Below are 14,868 nucleotides of genomic sequence, written 5' to 3'. Positions count from 1 at the left end.
TTCCTTTTTCATCATAGGCCTCAAAGCGCTACAAATGTCCACTTCCAGGTAGTGCAGAAAGAGTGTCTCAAACCTGCTCTATAAAAGGGAACATTCTACTCTGTGACTTGAATGAAAACATCACAAAGCAGTTTCTGAGAATGCTTCCGTCTAGCATTTTATATGAAGATATTCCCGTTTCCAACGAAACCTTCAAAGCTATCCGAATATCCACCTGCAGATTCTACAAAAAGAGTGTTTCCAAAATGCCGTATCAAAACAAAGGTTCAACTCTGTTAGTTGAGAACACACATGGCAAATAAGTTTCTGAGAATGCTTCTGTCTAGTTTTTACTTGAAGATATTTCCTTTCTCACCATAGGCCTGAAAGCGCTTGAAACGTCAGCTTGCAGATACTACAGAAAGAGTGTTTCAAACCTGCTCTATGAAAGGGAATGTTCAGTCCTGTGACTTGAAGGCAAACATCACAAAGAAGTTCCTGAGAATGCTTCTCTCTAGGTTTTATATGTAATCCCGTTTCCAACGAAATCCTCAAAGCTATCCAAATATCCACTTTCAGATTCCACAAAAAGAGTGTTTCAAAACTGCTCTGTAAAAGAAAGGTTCATCTCTGTTAGTTGAATACACACATCACAAACAAGTTTCTGAGAATGCTTCTGTCTAGTTTTTATGGGAAGATATTTCCTTTTTCAACATAGGCCTCAAAGCGCTCCAAATGTCCACTTCCAGGTAGTGCAGAAAGAGTGTTTCAAACCTGCTCTATAAAAGGGAATATTCAACTCTGTGACTTGAATGCAAACATCACAAAGCACTTTCTGAGAATGCTTCCGTCTAGATTTTATATGAAGATATTCCCGTTTCCAAGGAAATCTTCCTAGCTATCTAAATATCAACTTGCAGATTCTACTAAAGGAATGTTTCCAAAATGCTGTATCCACACAAAGGTTCAACTCTGTTAATTGCGGACATACAGCACAAAGAAGTTTCTGAGAATGCTTCTGTCTAGATTTTATATGAAGATATCCCGTGTCCAACGAAATCCTCAAAGGTATCAAAATATCCACTTGCAGATTCTACAAAAAGAGTGCTTCAAAACTGCTCTGTCAAAAGGAAGGTTCAACTCTGTTACTTGAGTACACACATCACAAGGAAGTTTCTGAGAATGCTTCTGTCTGGTTTTTAGGAGAAGATATTTCCTTTTTCAACATAGGCCTCAAAGCGCTGCAAATGTCCACTTCCAAATATTACAAAAAGAGTGTTTCAAACCTGCTGTATGAAGGGAAGTGTTCAACTCTATGAGTTGAATGCAAACATCACAGAGAAGTTTCTGAGAATGCTTCTGTCTTGATTTTATATGAAGATATTCCCGTTTCCAAAGAAACCTTCAAAGCTATCCAAATATCCACTTGCAGATTCTACAAAAAGAGTGTTTCCAAAATGTTGTATCAAAAGAAAGGTTCAACTCTGTTAGTTGAGGAAACACATCGCCAACAAGTTTCTGAGAATGCTTCTGTCTAGTTTTTATTTGAAGATATTTCCTTTCTCACCACAGGCCTGAAAGCGCTTAAAACGTCCGCTTGCAGATACTACAGAAAGAGTGTTTCAAACATGCTCTATGAAAGGGAATGTTCAGTTCTGTGACTTGAATGCAAACATCACAAAGAAGTTCCTGAGAATGCTTCTCTCTAGATTTTATATGTAATCCCGTTTCCGACGAAATCCTCAAAGCTATCCAAATATCCACTTTCAGATTCCACAAAAAGAGTGTTTCAAAACTGCTCTGTAAAAAGAAAGGTTCATCTCTGTTAGTTGAATACACACATCACAAACAAGTTTCTGAGAATGCTTCTGTCTGGTTTTTAGGAGAAGATATTTCCTTTTTCAACATAGGCCTCAAAGCGCTGCAAATGTCCACTTCCAAATATTACAAAAAGAGTGTTTCAAACCTGCTGTATGAAGGGAAGTGTTCAACTCTATGAGTTGAATGCAAACATCACAGAGAAGTTTCTGAGAATGCTTCTGTCTTGATTTCATATGAAGATATTCCCGTTTCCAACGAAACCTTCAAAGCTATCCAAATATCCACTTGCAGATTCTACAAAAAGAGTGTTTCCAAAATGTTGTATCAAAAGAAAGGTTCAACTCTGTTAGTTGAGGACACACATCGCAAATAAGTTTCTGAGAATGCTTCTGTCTAGTTTTTATTTGAAGATATTTCCTTTCTCACCACAGGCCTGAAAGCGCTTAAAACGTCCGCTTGCAGATACTACAGAAAGAGTGTTTCAAACCTGCTCTATGAAAGGGAATGTTCAGTTCTGTGACTTGAATGCAAACATCACAAAGAAGTTCCTGAGAATGCTTCTCCCTAGATTTTATATGTAATCCCGTTTCCAACGAAATCCGCAAAGCTATCCAAATATCCACTTTCAGATTCCACAAAAAGAGTGTTTCAAAACTGCTCTGTAAAAAGAAAGGTTCATCTCTGTTAGTTGAATACACACATCACAAACAAGTTTCTGAGAATGCTTCTGTCTAGTTTTTATGGGAAGATATTACCTTTTTCATCATAGGCCTCAAAGCGCTGCAAATGTCCACTTCCAAATATTACAAAAAGAGTGTTTCAAACCTGCTGTATGAAGGGAAGTGTTCAACTCTATGAGTTGAATGCAAACATCACAGAGAAGTTTCTGAGAATGCTTCTGTCTTGATTTTATATGAAGATATTCCCGTTTCCAACGAAACCTTCAAAGCTATTCAAATATCCACTTGCAGATTCTACAAAAAGAGTGTTTCCAAAATGTTGTATCAAAAGAAAGGTTCAACTCTGTTAGTTGAGGACACACATCGCAAATAAGTTTCTGAGAATGCTTCTGTCTAGTTTTTACTTGAAGATATTTCCTTTTTCACCATAGGCCTGAAAGCGTTTGAAATGTCCGTTTGCAGATACTACAGAAAGAGTGTTTCAAACATGCTCTATGAAAGGGAATGTTCAGTTCTGTGACGTGAATGCAAACATCACAAAGAAGTTCCTGAGAATGCTTCTCTCTAGATTTTATATGTAATCCCGTTTCCAACGAAATCCTCAAAGCCATCCAAATATCCACTTTCAGATTCCACAAAAAGAGTGTTTCAAAACTGCTCTGTAAAAAGAAAGGTTCATCTCTGTTAGTTGAATACACACATCACAAACAAGTTTCTGAGAATGCTTCTGTCTAGTTTTTATGGGAAGATATTTCCTTTTTCAACATAGGCCTCAAAGCGCTCCAAACGTCCACTTCCGGGTAGTGCAGAAAGAGTGTCTCAAACCTGGTATATAACAGGGAACATTCTACTCTGTGACTTGAATGAAAACATCACAAAGCAGTTTCTGAGAATGCTTCCGTCTAGATTTTATATGAAGATATTCCCGTTTCCAACGAAACCTTCAAAGCTATCCGAATATCCAGCTGCAGATTCTACAAAAAGAGTGTTTCCAAAATGCCGTATCAAAACAAAGGTTCAACTCTGTTAGTTGAGAACACACATGGCAAATAAGTTTCTGAGAATGCTTCTGTCTAGTTTTTACTTGAAGATATTTCCTTTCTCACCATAGGCCTGAAAGCGCTTGAAACGTCAGCTTGCAGATACTACAGAAAGAGTGTTTCAAACCTGCTCTATGAAAGGGAATGTTCAGTCCTGTGACTTGAAGGCAAACATCACAAAGAAGTTCCTGAGAATGCTTCTCTCTAGGTTTTATATGTAATCCCGTTTCCAACGAAATCCTCAAAGCTATCCAAATATCCACTTTCAGATTCCACAAAAAGAGTGTTTCAAAACTGCTCTGTAAAAAGAAAGGTTCATCTCTGTTAGTTGAATACACACATCACAAACAAGTTTCTGAGAATGCTTCTGTCTAGTTTTTATGGGAAGATATTTCCTTTTTCAACATAGGCCTCAAAGCGCTCCAAATGTCCACTTCCAGGTAGTGCAGAGAGAGTGTTTCAAACCTGCTCTATAAAAGGGAATATTCAACTCTGTGACTTGAATGCAAACATCACAAAGCACTTTCTGAGAATGCTTCCGTCTAGATTTTATATGAAGATATTCCCGTTTCCAAGGAAATCTTCCTAGCTATCTAAATATCAACTTGCAGATTCTACTAAAGGAATGTTTCCAAAATGCTGTATCCACACAAAGGTTCAACTCTGTTAATTGAGGACATACAGCACAAAGAAGTTTCTGAGAATGCTTCTGTCTAGTTTTTACTTGAAGATATTTCCTTTCTCACCATAGGCCTGAAAGCGCTTGAAACGTCAGCTTGCAGATACTACAGAAAGAGTGTTTCAAACCTGCTCTATGAAAGGGAATGTTCAGTTCTGTGACTTGAATGCAAACATCACAAAGCAGTTCCTGAGAATGCTTTCTCCCTAGATTTTATATGTAATCCCGTTTCCAACGAAATCCGCAAAGCTATCCAAATATCCACTTTCAGATTCCACAAAAAGAGTGTTTCAAAACTGCTCTGTAAAAAGAAAGGTTCATCTCTCTTAGTTGAATACACACATCACAAACAAGTTTCTGAGAATGCTTCTGTCTAGTTTTTATGGGAAGATATTACCTTTTTCATCATAGGCCTCAAAGCGCTGCAAATGTCCACTTCCAAATATTACAAAAAGAGTGTTTCAAACCTGCTGTATGAAGGGAAGTGTTCAACTCTATGAGTTGAATGCAAACATCACAGAGAAGTTTCTGAGAATGCTTCTGTCTTGATTTTATATGAAGATATTCCCGTTTCCAACGAAACCTTCAAAGCTATTCAAATATCCACTTGCAGATTCTACAAAAAGAGTGTTTCCAAAATGTTGTATCAAAAGAAAGGTTCAACTCTGTTAGTTGAGGACACACATCGCAAATAAGTTTCTGAGAATGCTTCTGTCTAGTTTTTACTTGAAGATATTTCCTTTCTCACCATAGGCCTGAAAGCGCTTGAAACGTCCGCTTGCAGATACTACAGAAAGAGTGTTTCAAACATGCTCTATGAAAGGGAATGTTCAGTTCTGTGACTTGAATGCAAACATCACAAAGAAGTTCCTGAGAATGCTTCTCTCTAGATTTTATATGTAATCCCGTTTCCAACGAAATCCTCAAAGCTATCCAAATATCCACTTTCAGATTCCACAAAAGAGTGTTTCAAAACTGCTCTGTAAAAAGAAAGGTTCATCTCTGTTAGTTGAATACACACATCACAAACAAGTTTCTGAGAATGCTTCTGTCTAGTTTTTATGGGAAGATATTTCCTTTTTCAACATAGGCCTCAAAGCGCTCCAAAAGTCCACTTCCAGGTAGTGCAGAAAGAGTGTCTCAAAGCTGGTATATAACACGGAACATTCTACTCTGTGACTTGAATGAAAACATCACAAAGCAGTTTCTGAGAATGCTTCCGTCTAGATTTTATATGAAGATATTCCCGTTTCCAACGAAACCTTCAAAGCTATCCGAATATCCACCTGCAGATTCTACAAAAAGAGTGTTTCCAAAATGCTATATCAAAACAAAGGTTCAACTCTGTTAGTTGAGAACACACATCGCAAATAAGTTTCTGAGAATGCTTCTGTCTAGTTTTTACTTGAAGATATTTCCTTTCTCACCATAGGCCTGAAAGCGCTTGAAACGTCAGCTTGCAGATACTACAGAAAGAGTGTTTCAAACCTGCTCTATGAAAGGGAATGTTCAGTTCTGTGACTTGAATGCAAACATCACAAAGAAGTTCCTGAGAATGCTTCTCTCTAGGTTTTATATGTAATCCCGTTTCCAACGAAATCCTCAAAGCTATCCAAATATCCACTTTCAGATTCCACAAAAAGAGTGTTTCAAAACTGCTCTGTAAAAAGAAAGGTTCATCTCTGTTAGTTGAATACACACATCACAAACAAGTTTCTGAGAATGCTTCTGTCTAGTTTTTATGGGAAGATATTTCCTTTTTCAACATAGGCCTCAAAGCGCTCCAAATGTCCACTTCCAGGTAGTGCAGAAAGAGTGTTTCAAACCTGCTCTATAAAAGGGAACATTCAACTACTGTGACTTGAATGCAAACATCACAAAGCACTTTCTGAGAATGCTTCTGTCTTGATTTTATATGAAGATATTCCCGTTTCCAACGAAACCTTCAAAGCTATCCAAATATCCACTTGCAGATTCTACAAAAAGAGTGTTTCCAAAGTGCTGTATCCAAACAAAGGTTCAACTCTTTTAGTTGGGAACACACATCGCAAATAAGTTTCTGAGAATGCTTCTGTCTAGTTTTTATTTGAAGATATTTCCTTTTTCACCACAGGCCTGAAAGCGCTTCAAACGTCCGCTTGCAGATACTACAGAAAGAGTGTTTCAAACCTGCTCTATGAAAGGGAATGTTCAGTTCTGTGACTTGAACGCAAACATCACAAAGAAGTTCCTGAGAATGCTTCTCTCTAGATTTTATATGTAATCCCGTTTCAACGAAATCCTCAAAGCTATCCAAATATCCACTTTCAGATTCCACAAAAAGAGTGTTTCAAAACTGCTCTGTAAAAAGAAAGGTTCATCTCTGTTAGTTGAATACACACATCACAAACAAGTTTCTGAGAATGCTTCTGTCTAGTTTTTATGGGAAGATATTTCCTTTTTCAACATAGGCCTCAAAGCGCTCCAAACGTCCACTTCCAGGTAGTGCAGAAAGAGTGTCTCAAACCTGGTATATAACAGGGAACATTCTACTCTGTGACTTGAATGAAAACATCACAAAGCAGTTTCTGAGAATGCTTCCGTCTAGATTTTATATGAAGATATTCCCGTTTCCAACGAAACCTTCAAAGCTATCCGAATATCCACCTGCAGATTCTACAAAAAGAGTGTTTCCAAAATGCCGTATCAAAACAAAGGTTCAACTCTGTTAGTTGAGAACACACATGGCAAATAAGTTTCTGAGAATGCTTCTGTCTAGTTTTTACTTGAAGATATTTCCTTTCTCACCATAGGCCTGAAAGCGCTTGAAACGTCAGCTTGCAGATACTACAGAAAGAGTGTTTCAAACCTGCTCTATGAAAGGGAATGTTCAGTCCTGTGACTTGAAGGCAAACATCACAAAGAAGTTCCTGAGAATGCTTCTGTCTAGATTTTATATGAAGATATCCCGTGTCTAACGAAATCCTCAAAGGTATCAAAATATCCACTTGCAGATTCTACAAAAAGAGTGCTTCAAAACTGCTCTGTCAAAATGAAGGTTCAACTCTGTTACTTGAGTACACACATCACAAGAAAGATTCTGAGAATGCTTCTGTCTGGTTTTTAGGAGAAGATATCTCCTTTTTCACCATAAGCTTCAAAGCGCTGCCAATGTCCACTTCCAAATATTACAAAAAGAGTATTTCAAACCAGCTCTATGAAAGGAAGTGTTCAACTCTATGAGTTGAATGCAAACAGAACAGAGAAGTTTCTGAGAATGCTTCTCCCTAGATTTTATATGTAATCCCGTTTATAACGAAATCCGCAAAGCTATCCAAATATCCACTTTCACATTCCACAAAAAGAGTGTTTCAAAACTGCTCTGTAAAAAGGAAGGTTCAACTCTGTTACTTGAGTACACACATCACAAGGAAGTTTCTGAGAATGCTTCTGTCTGGTTTTTAGGAGAAGATATTTCCTTTTTCAACATAGGCCTCAAAGCGCTGCAAATGTCCACTTCCAAATATTACAAAAAGAGTGTTTCAAACCTGCTGTATGAAGGGAAGTGTTCAACTCTATGAGTTGAATGCAAACATCACAGAGAAGTTTCTGAGAATGCTTCTGTCTTGATTTTATATGAAGATATTCCCGTTTCCAACGAAACCTTCAAAGCTATTCAAATATCCACTTGCAGATTCTACAAAAAGAGTGTTTCCAAAATGTTGTATCAAAAGAAAGGTTCAACTCTGTTAGTTGAGGACACACATCGCAAATAAGTTTCTGAGAATGCTTCTGTCTAGTTTTTATTTGAAGATATTTCCTTTCTCACCATAGGCCTGAAAGCGTTTGAAATGTCCGTTTGCAGATACTACAGAAAGAGTGTTTCAAACCTGCTCTATGAAAGGGAATGTTCAGTTCTGTGACGTGAATGCAAACATCACAAAGAAGTTCCTGAGAATGCTTCTCTCTAGCATTTTATATGTAATCCCGTTTCCAACGAAATCCTCAAAGCTATCCAAATATCCACTTTCAGATTCCACAAAAAGAGTGTTTCAAAACTGCTCTGTAAAAAGAAAGGTTCATCTCTGTTAGTTGAATACACACATCACAAACAAGTTTCTGAGAATGCTTCTGTCTAGTTTTTATGGGAAGATATTTCCTTTTTCACCATAGGCCTCAAAGCGCTGCAAATGTCCACTTCCAGGTAGTGCAGAAAGAGTGTCTCAAACCTGGTATATAACAGGGAACATTCTACTGTGTGACTTGAATGAAAACATCACAAAGCAGTTTCTGAGAATGCTTCCGTCTAGATTTTATATGAAGATATTCCCGTTTCCAACGAAACCTTCAAAGCTATCCGAATATCCACCTGCAGATTCTACAAAAAGAGTGTTTCCAAAATGCCATATCAAAACAAAGGTTCAACTCTGTTAGTTGAGAACACACATCGCAAATAAGTTTCTGAGAATGCTTCTGTCTAGTTTTTATTTGAAGATATTTCCTTTCTCACCACAGGCCTGAAAGCGCTTAAAACGTCCGCTTGGAGATACTACAGAAAGAGTGTTTCAAAACCTGCTCTATGAAAGGGAATGTTCAGTTCTGTGACTTGAATGCAAACATCACAAAGAAGTTCCTGAGAATGCTTCTGTCTAGATTTTATATGAAGATATCCCGTGTCCAACGAAATCCTCAAAGGTATCAAAATATCCACTTGCAGATTCTACAAAAAGAGTGCTTCAAAACTGCTCTGTCAAAATGAAGGTTCAACTCTGTTACTTGAGTACACACATCACAAGGAAGTTTCTGAGAATGCTTCCTGTCTAGTTTTTATGGGAAGATATTTCCTTTTTCATCATAGGCCTCAAAGCGCTGCAAATGTCCACTTCCAAATATTACAAAAAGAGTGTTTCAAACCTGCTGTATGAAGGGAAGTGTTCAACTCTATGAGTTGAATGCAAACATCACAGAGAAGTTTCTGAGAATGCTTCTGTCTTGATTTCATATGAAGATATTCCCGTTTCCAACGAAACCTTCAAAGCTATCCAAATATCCACTTGCAGATTCTACAAAAAGAGTGTTTCCAAAATGTTGTATCAAAAGAAAGGTTCAACTCTGTTAGTTGAGGACACACATCGCAAATAAGTTTCTGAGAATGCTTCTGTCTAGTTTTTATTTGAAGATATTTCCTTTCTCACCACAGGCCTGAAAGCGCTTAAAACGTCCGCTTGCAGATACTACAGAAAGAGTGTTTCAAACATGCTCTATGAAAGGGAATGTTCAGTTCTGTGACTTGAATGCAAACATCACAAAGAAGTTCCTGAGAATGCTTCTCTCTAGATTTTATATGTAATCCCGTTTCCAACGAAATCCTCAAAGCTATCCAAATATCCACTTTCAGATTCCACAAAAAGAGTGTTTCAAAACTGCTCTGTAAAAAGAAAGGTTCATCTCTGTTAGTTGAATACACACATCACAAACAAGTTTCTGAGAATGCTTCTGTCTAGTTTTTATGGGAAGATATTACCTTTTTCATCATAGGCCTCAAAGCGCTGCAAATGTCCACTTCCAAATATTACAAAAAGAGTGTTTCAAACCTGCTGTATGAAGGGAAGTGTTCAACTCTATGAGTTGAATGCAAACATCACAGAGAAGTTTCTGAGAATGCTTCTGTCTTGATTTTATATGAAGATATTCCCGTTTCCAACGAAACCTTCAAAGCTATTCAAATATCCACTTGCAGATTCTACAAAAAGAGTGTTTCCAAAATGTTGTATCAAAAGAAAGGTTCAACTCTGTTAGTTGAGGACACACATCGCAAATAAGTTTCTGAGAATGCTTCTGTCTAGTTTTTACTTGAAGATATTTCCTTTCTCACCATAGGCCTGAAAGCGTTTGAAATGTCCGTTTGCAGATACTACAGAAAGAGTGTTTCAAACATGCTCTATGAAAGGGAATGTTCAGTTCTGTGACGTGAATGCAAACATCACAAAGAAGTTCCTGAGAATGCTTCTCCCTAGATTTTATATGTAATCCCATTTCCAACGAAATCCTCAAAGCTATCCAAATATCCACTTTCAGATTCCACAAAAAGAGTGTTTCAAAACTGCTCTGTAAAAAGAAAGGTTCATCTCTGTTAGTTGAATACACACATCACAAACAAGTTTCTGAGAATGCTTCTGTCTAGTTTTTATGGGAAGATATTTCCTTTTTCATCATAGGCCTCAAAGCGCTGCAAATGTCCACTTCCAAATATTACAAAAAGAGTGTTTCAAACCTGCTGTATGAAGGGAAGTGTTCAACTCTATGAGTTGAATGCAAACATCACAGAGAAGTTTCTGAGAATGCTTCTGTCTTGATTTTATATGAAGATATTCCCGTTTCCAACGAAACCTTCAAAGCTATCCAAATATCCACTTGCAGATTCTACAAAAAGAGTGGTTCCAAAATGTTGTATCAAAAGAAAGGTTCAACTCTGTTAGTTGAGGACACACATCGCAAATAAGTTTCTGAGAATGCTTCTGTCTAGTTTTTATTTGAAGATATTTCCTTTCTCACCATAGGCCTGAAAGCGTTTGAAATGTCCGTTTGCAGATACTACAGAAAGAGTGTTTCAAACATGCTCTATGAAAGGGAATGTTCAGTTCTGTGACGTGAATGCAAACATAACAAAGAAGTTCCTGAGAATGCTTCTCCCTAGATTTTATATGTAATCCCGTTTCCAACGAAATCCGCAAAGCTATCCAAATATCCACTTTCAGATTCCACAAAAAGAGTGTTTCAAAACTGCTCTGTAAAAAGAAAGGTTCATCTCTGTTAGTTGAATACACACGTCACAAACAAGTTTCTGAGAACGCTTCTGTCTAGTTTTTATGGGAAGATATTACCTTTTTCATCATAGGCCTCAAAGCGCTGCAAATGTCCACTTCCAAATATTACAAAAAGAGTGTTTCAAACCTGCTGTATGAGGGGAAGTGTTCAACTCTATGAGTTGAATGCAAACATCACAGAGAAGTTTCTGAGAATGCTTCTGTCTTGATTTTATATGAAGATATTCCCGTTTCCAACGAAACCTTCAAAGCTATTCAAATATCCACTTGCAGAATCTACAAAAAGAGTGTTTCCAAAATGTTGTATCAAAAGAAAGGTTCAACTCTGTTAGTTGAGGACACACATCGCAAATAAGTTTCTGAGAATGCTTCTGTCTAGTTTTTATTTGAAGATATTCCCGTTTCCAACGAAACCTTCAAAGCTATTCAAATATCCACTTGCAGATTCTACAAAAAGAGTGTTTCCAAAATGTTGTATCAAAAGAAAGGTTCAACTCTGTTAGTTGAGGACACACATCGCAAATAAGTTTCTGAGAATGCTTCTGTCTAGTTTTTATTTGAAGATATTTCCTTCCTCACCATAGGCCTGAAAGCGTTTGAAATGTCCGTTTGCAGATACTACAGAAAGAGTGTTTCAAACATGCTCTATGAAAGGGAATGTTCAGTTTTGTGACGTGAATGCAAACATCACAAAGAAGTTCCTGAGAATGCTTCTCTCTAGATTTTATATGTAATCCCGTTTCCAACGAAATCCTCAAAGCTATCCAAATATGCACTTTCAGATTCCACAAAAAGAGTGTTTCAAAACTGCTCTGTAAAAAGAAAGGTTCATCTCTGTTAGTTGAATACACACATCACAACCAAGTTTCTGAGAATGCTTCTGTCTAGTTTTTATGGGAAGATATTTCCTTTTTCATCATAGGCCTCAAAGCGCTCCAAATGTCCACTTCCAGATAGTGCAGAAAGAGTGTCTCAAACCTGGTATATAAAAGAGAACATTCTACTCTGTGACTTGAATGAAAACATCACAAAGCAGTTTCTGAGAATGCTTCCGTCTAGATTTTCTATGAAGGTATTCCCGTTTCCAACGAAACCTTCAAAGCTATCCGAATATCCACCAGCAGATTCTACAAAAAGAGTGTTTCCAAAATGCCGTATCAAAACAAAGGTTCAACTCTGTTAGTTGAGAACACACATGTTAAATAAGTTTCTGAGAATGCTTCTGTCTAGTTTTTATTTGAAGATATTTCCTTTCTCACCATAGGCCGGAAAGCGTTTGAAATGTCCGTTTGCAGATACTACAGAAAGAGTGTTTCAAACATGCTCTATGAAAGGGAATGTTCAGTTCTGTGACGTGAATGCAAACATCACAAAGAAGTTCCTGAGAATGCTTCTCTCTAGATTTTATATGTAATCCCGTTTCCAACGAAATCCTCAAAGCTATCCAAATATCCACTTTCAGATTCCACAAAAAGAGTGTTTCAAAACTGCTCTGTAAAAAGAAAGGTTCATCTCTGTTAGTTGAATACACACATCACAAACAAGTTTCTGAGAATGCTTCTGTCTAGTTTTTATGGGAAGATATTTCCTTTTTCATCATAGGCCTCAAAGCGCTGCAAATGTCCACTTCCAGGTAGTGCAGAAAGAGGGTCTGAAACCTGGTATATAACAGGGAAGATTCTACTCTGTGACTTGAATGAAAACATCACAAAGCAGTTTCTGAGAATGCTTCCGTCAAGATTTTATATGAAGATATTCCCGTTTCCAACGAAACCTTCAAAGCTATCCGAATATCCACCTGCAGATTCTACAAAAAGAGTGTTTCCAAAATGCCGTATCAAAACAAAGGTTCAACTCTGTTAGTTGAGAACACACATGGCAAATAAGTTTCTGAGAATGCTTCTGTCTAGTTTTTACTTGAAGATATTTCCTTTCTCACCATAGGCCTGAAAGCGCTTGAAACGTCAGCTTGCAGATACTACAGAAAGAGTGTTTCAAACCTGCTCTATGAAAGGGAATGTTCAGTCCTGTGACTTGAAGGCAAACATCACAAAGAAGTTCCTGAGAATGCTTCTCTCTAGGTTTTATATGTAATCCCGTTTCCAACGAAATCCTCAAAGCTATCCAAATATCCACTTTCAGATTCCACAAAAAGAGTGTTTCAAAACTGCTCTGTAAAAAGAAAGGTTCATCTCTGTTAGTTGAATACACACATCACAAACAAGTTTCTGAGAATGCTTCTGTCTAGTTTTTATGGGAAGATATTTCGTTTTTCAACATAGGCCTCAAAGCGCTCCAAATGTCCACTTCCAGGTAGTGCAGAAAGAGTGTTTCAAACCTGCTCTATAAAAGGGAATATTAAACTCTGTGACTTGAATGCAAACATCACAAAGCACTTTCTGCGAATGCTTCCGTCTAGATTTTATATGAAGATATTCCCGTTTCCAAGGAAATCTTCCTAGCTATCTAAATATCAACTTGCAGATTCTACTAAAGGAATGTTTCCAAAATGCTGTATCCACACAAAGGTTTAACTCTGTTAATTGAGGACATACAGCACAAAGAAGTTTCTGAGAATGCTTCTGTCTAGATTTTATATGAAGATATCCCGTGTCCAACGAAATCCTCAAAGGTATCAAAATATCCACTTGCAGATTCTACAAAAAGAGTGCTTCAAAACTGCTCTGTCAAAAGGAAGGTTCAACTCTGTTACTTGAGTACACACATCACAAGGAAGTTTCTGAGAATGCTTCTGTCTGGTTTTTAGGAGAAGATATTTCCTTTTTCAACATAGGCCTCAAAGCGCTGCAAATGTCCACTTCCAAATATTACAAAAAGAGTGTTTCAAACCTGCTGTATGAAGGGAAGTGTTCAACTCTATGAGTTGAATGCAAACATCACAGAGAAGTTTCTGAGAATGCTTCTGTCTTGATTTCATATGAAGATATTCCCGTTTCCAACGAAACCTTCAAAGCTATCCAAATATCCACTTGCAGATTCTACAAAAAGAGTGTTTCCAAAATGTTGTATCAAAAGAAAGGTTCAACTCTGTTAGTTGAGGACACACATCGCAAATAAGTTTCTGAGAATGCTTCTGTCTAGTTTTTATTTGAAGATATTTCCTTTCTCACCACAGGCCTGAAAGCGCTTAAAACGTCCGCTTGCAGATACTACAGAAAGAGTGTTTCAAACCTGCTCTATGAAAGGGAATGTTCAGTTCTGTGACTTGAATGCAAACATCACAAAGAAGTTCCTGAGAATGCTTCTCCCTAGATTTTATATGTAATCCCGTTTCCAACGAAATCCGCAAAGCTATCCAAATATCCACTTTCAGATTCCACAAAAAGAGTGTTTCAAAACTGCTCTGTAAAAAGAAAGGTTCATCTCTGTTAGTTGAATACACACATCACAAACAAGTTTCTGAGAATGCTTCTGTCTAGTTTTTATGGGAAGATATTACCTTTTTCATCATAGGCCTCAAAGCGCTGCAAATGTCCACTTCCAAATATTACAAAAAGAGTGTTTCAAACCTGCTGTATGAAGGGAAGTGTTCAACTCTATGAGTTGAATGCAAACATCACAGAGAAGTTTCTGAGAATGCTTCTGTCTTGATTTTATTTGAAGATATTCCCGTTTCCAACGAAACCTTCAAAGCTATTCAAATATCCACTTGCAGATTCTACAAAAAGAATGTTTCCAAAATGTTGTATCAAAACAAAGGTTCAACTCTGTTAGTTGAGGACACACATCGCAAATAAGTTTCTGAGAATGCTTCTGTCTAGTTTTTACTTGAAGATATTTCCTTTCTCACCATAGGCCTGAAAGCGTTTGAAATGTCCGTTTGCAGATACTACAGAAAGAGT

At 37.4% G+C, this 14,868-nt stretch overlaps 1 annotated feature.

Annotated features, from left to right (window-relative positions):
• Positions 1-14,868: part of a centromere (Linear centromere model derived predominantly from reads generated in PMID: 17803354. This region does not represent an actual centromere sequence, as long-range ordering of repeats and unmapped WGS contigs is not provided by the model. For details of model production, see http://arxiv.org/abs/1307.0035.) that runs on past both edges of the window.

The sequence above is a fragment of the Homo sapiens genome, chromosome 9 (genome assembly GCF_000001405.40).
Source record: "Homo sapiens chromosome 9, GRCh38.p14 Primary Assembly".
NCBI lineage: Eukaryota > Metazoa > Chordata > Mammalia > Primates > Hominidae > Homo > Homo sapiens.
The sequence above is the reverse complement of the archived record's forward strand: the minus strand, read 5'-3'. Positions and strand labels throughout refer to the sequence as shown.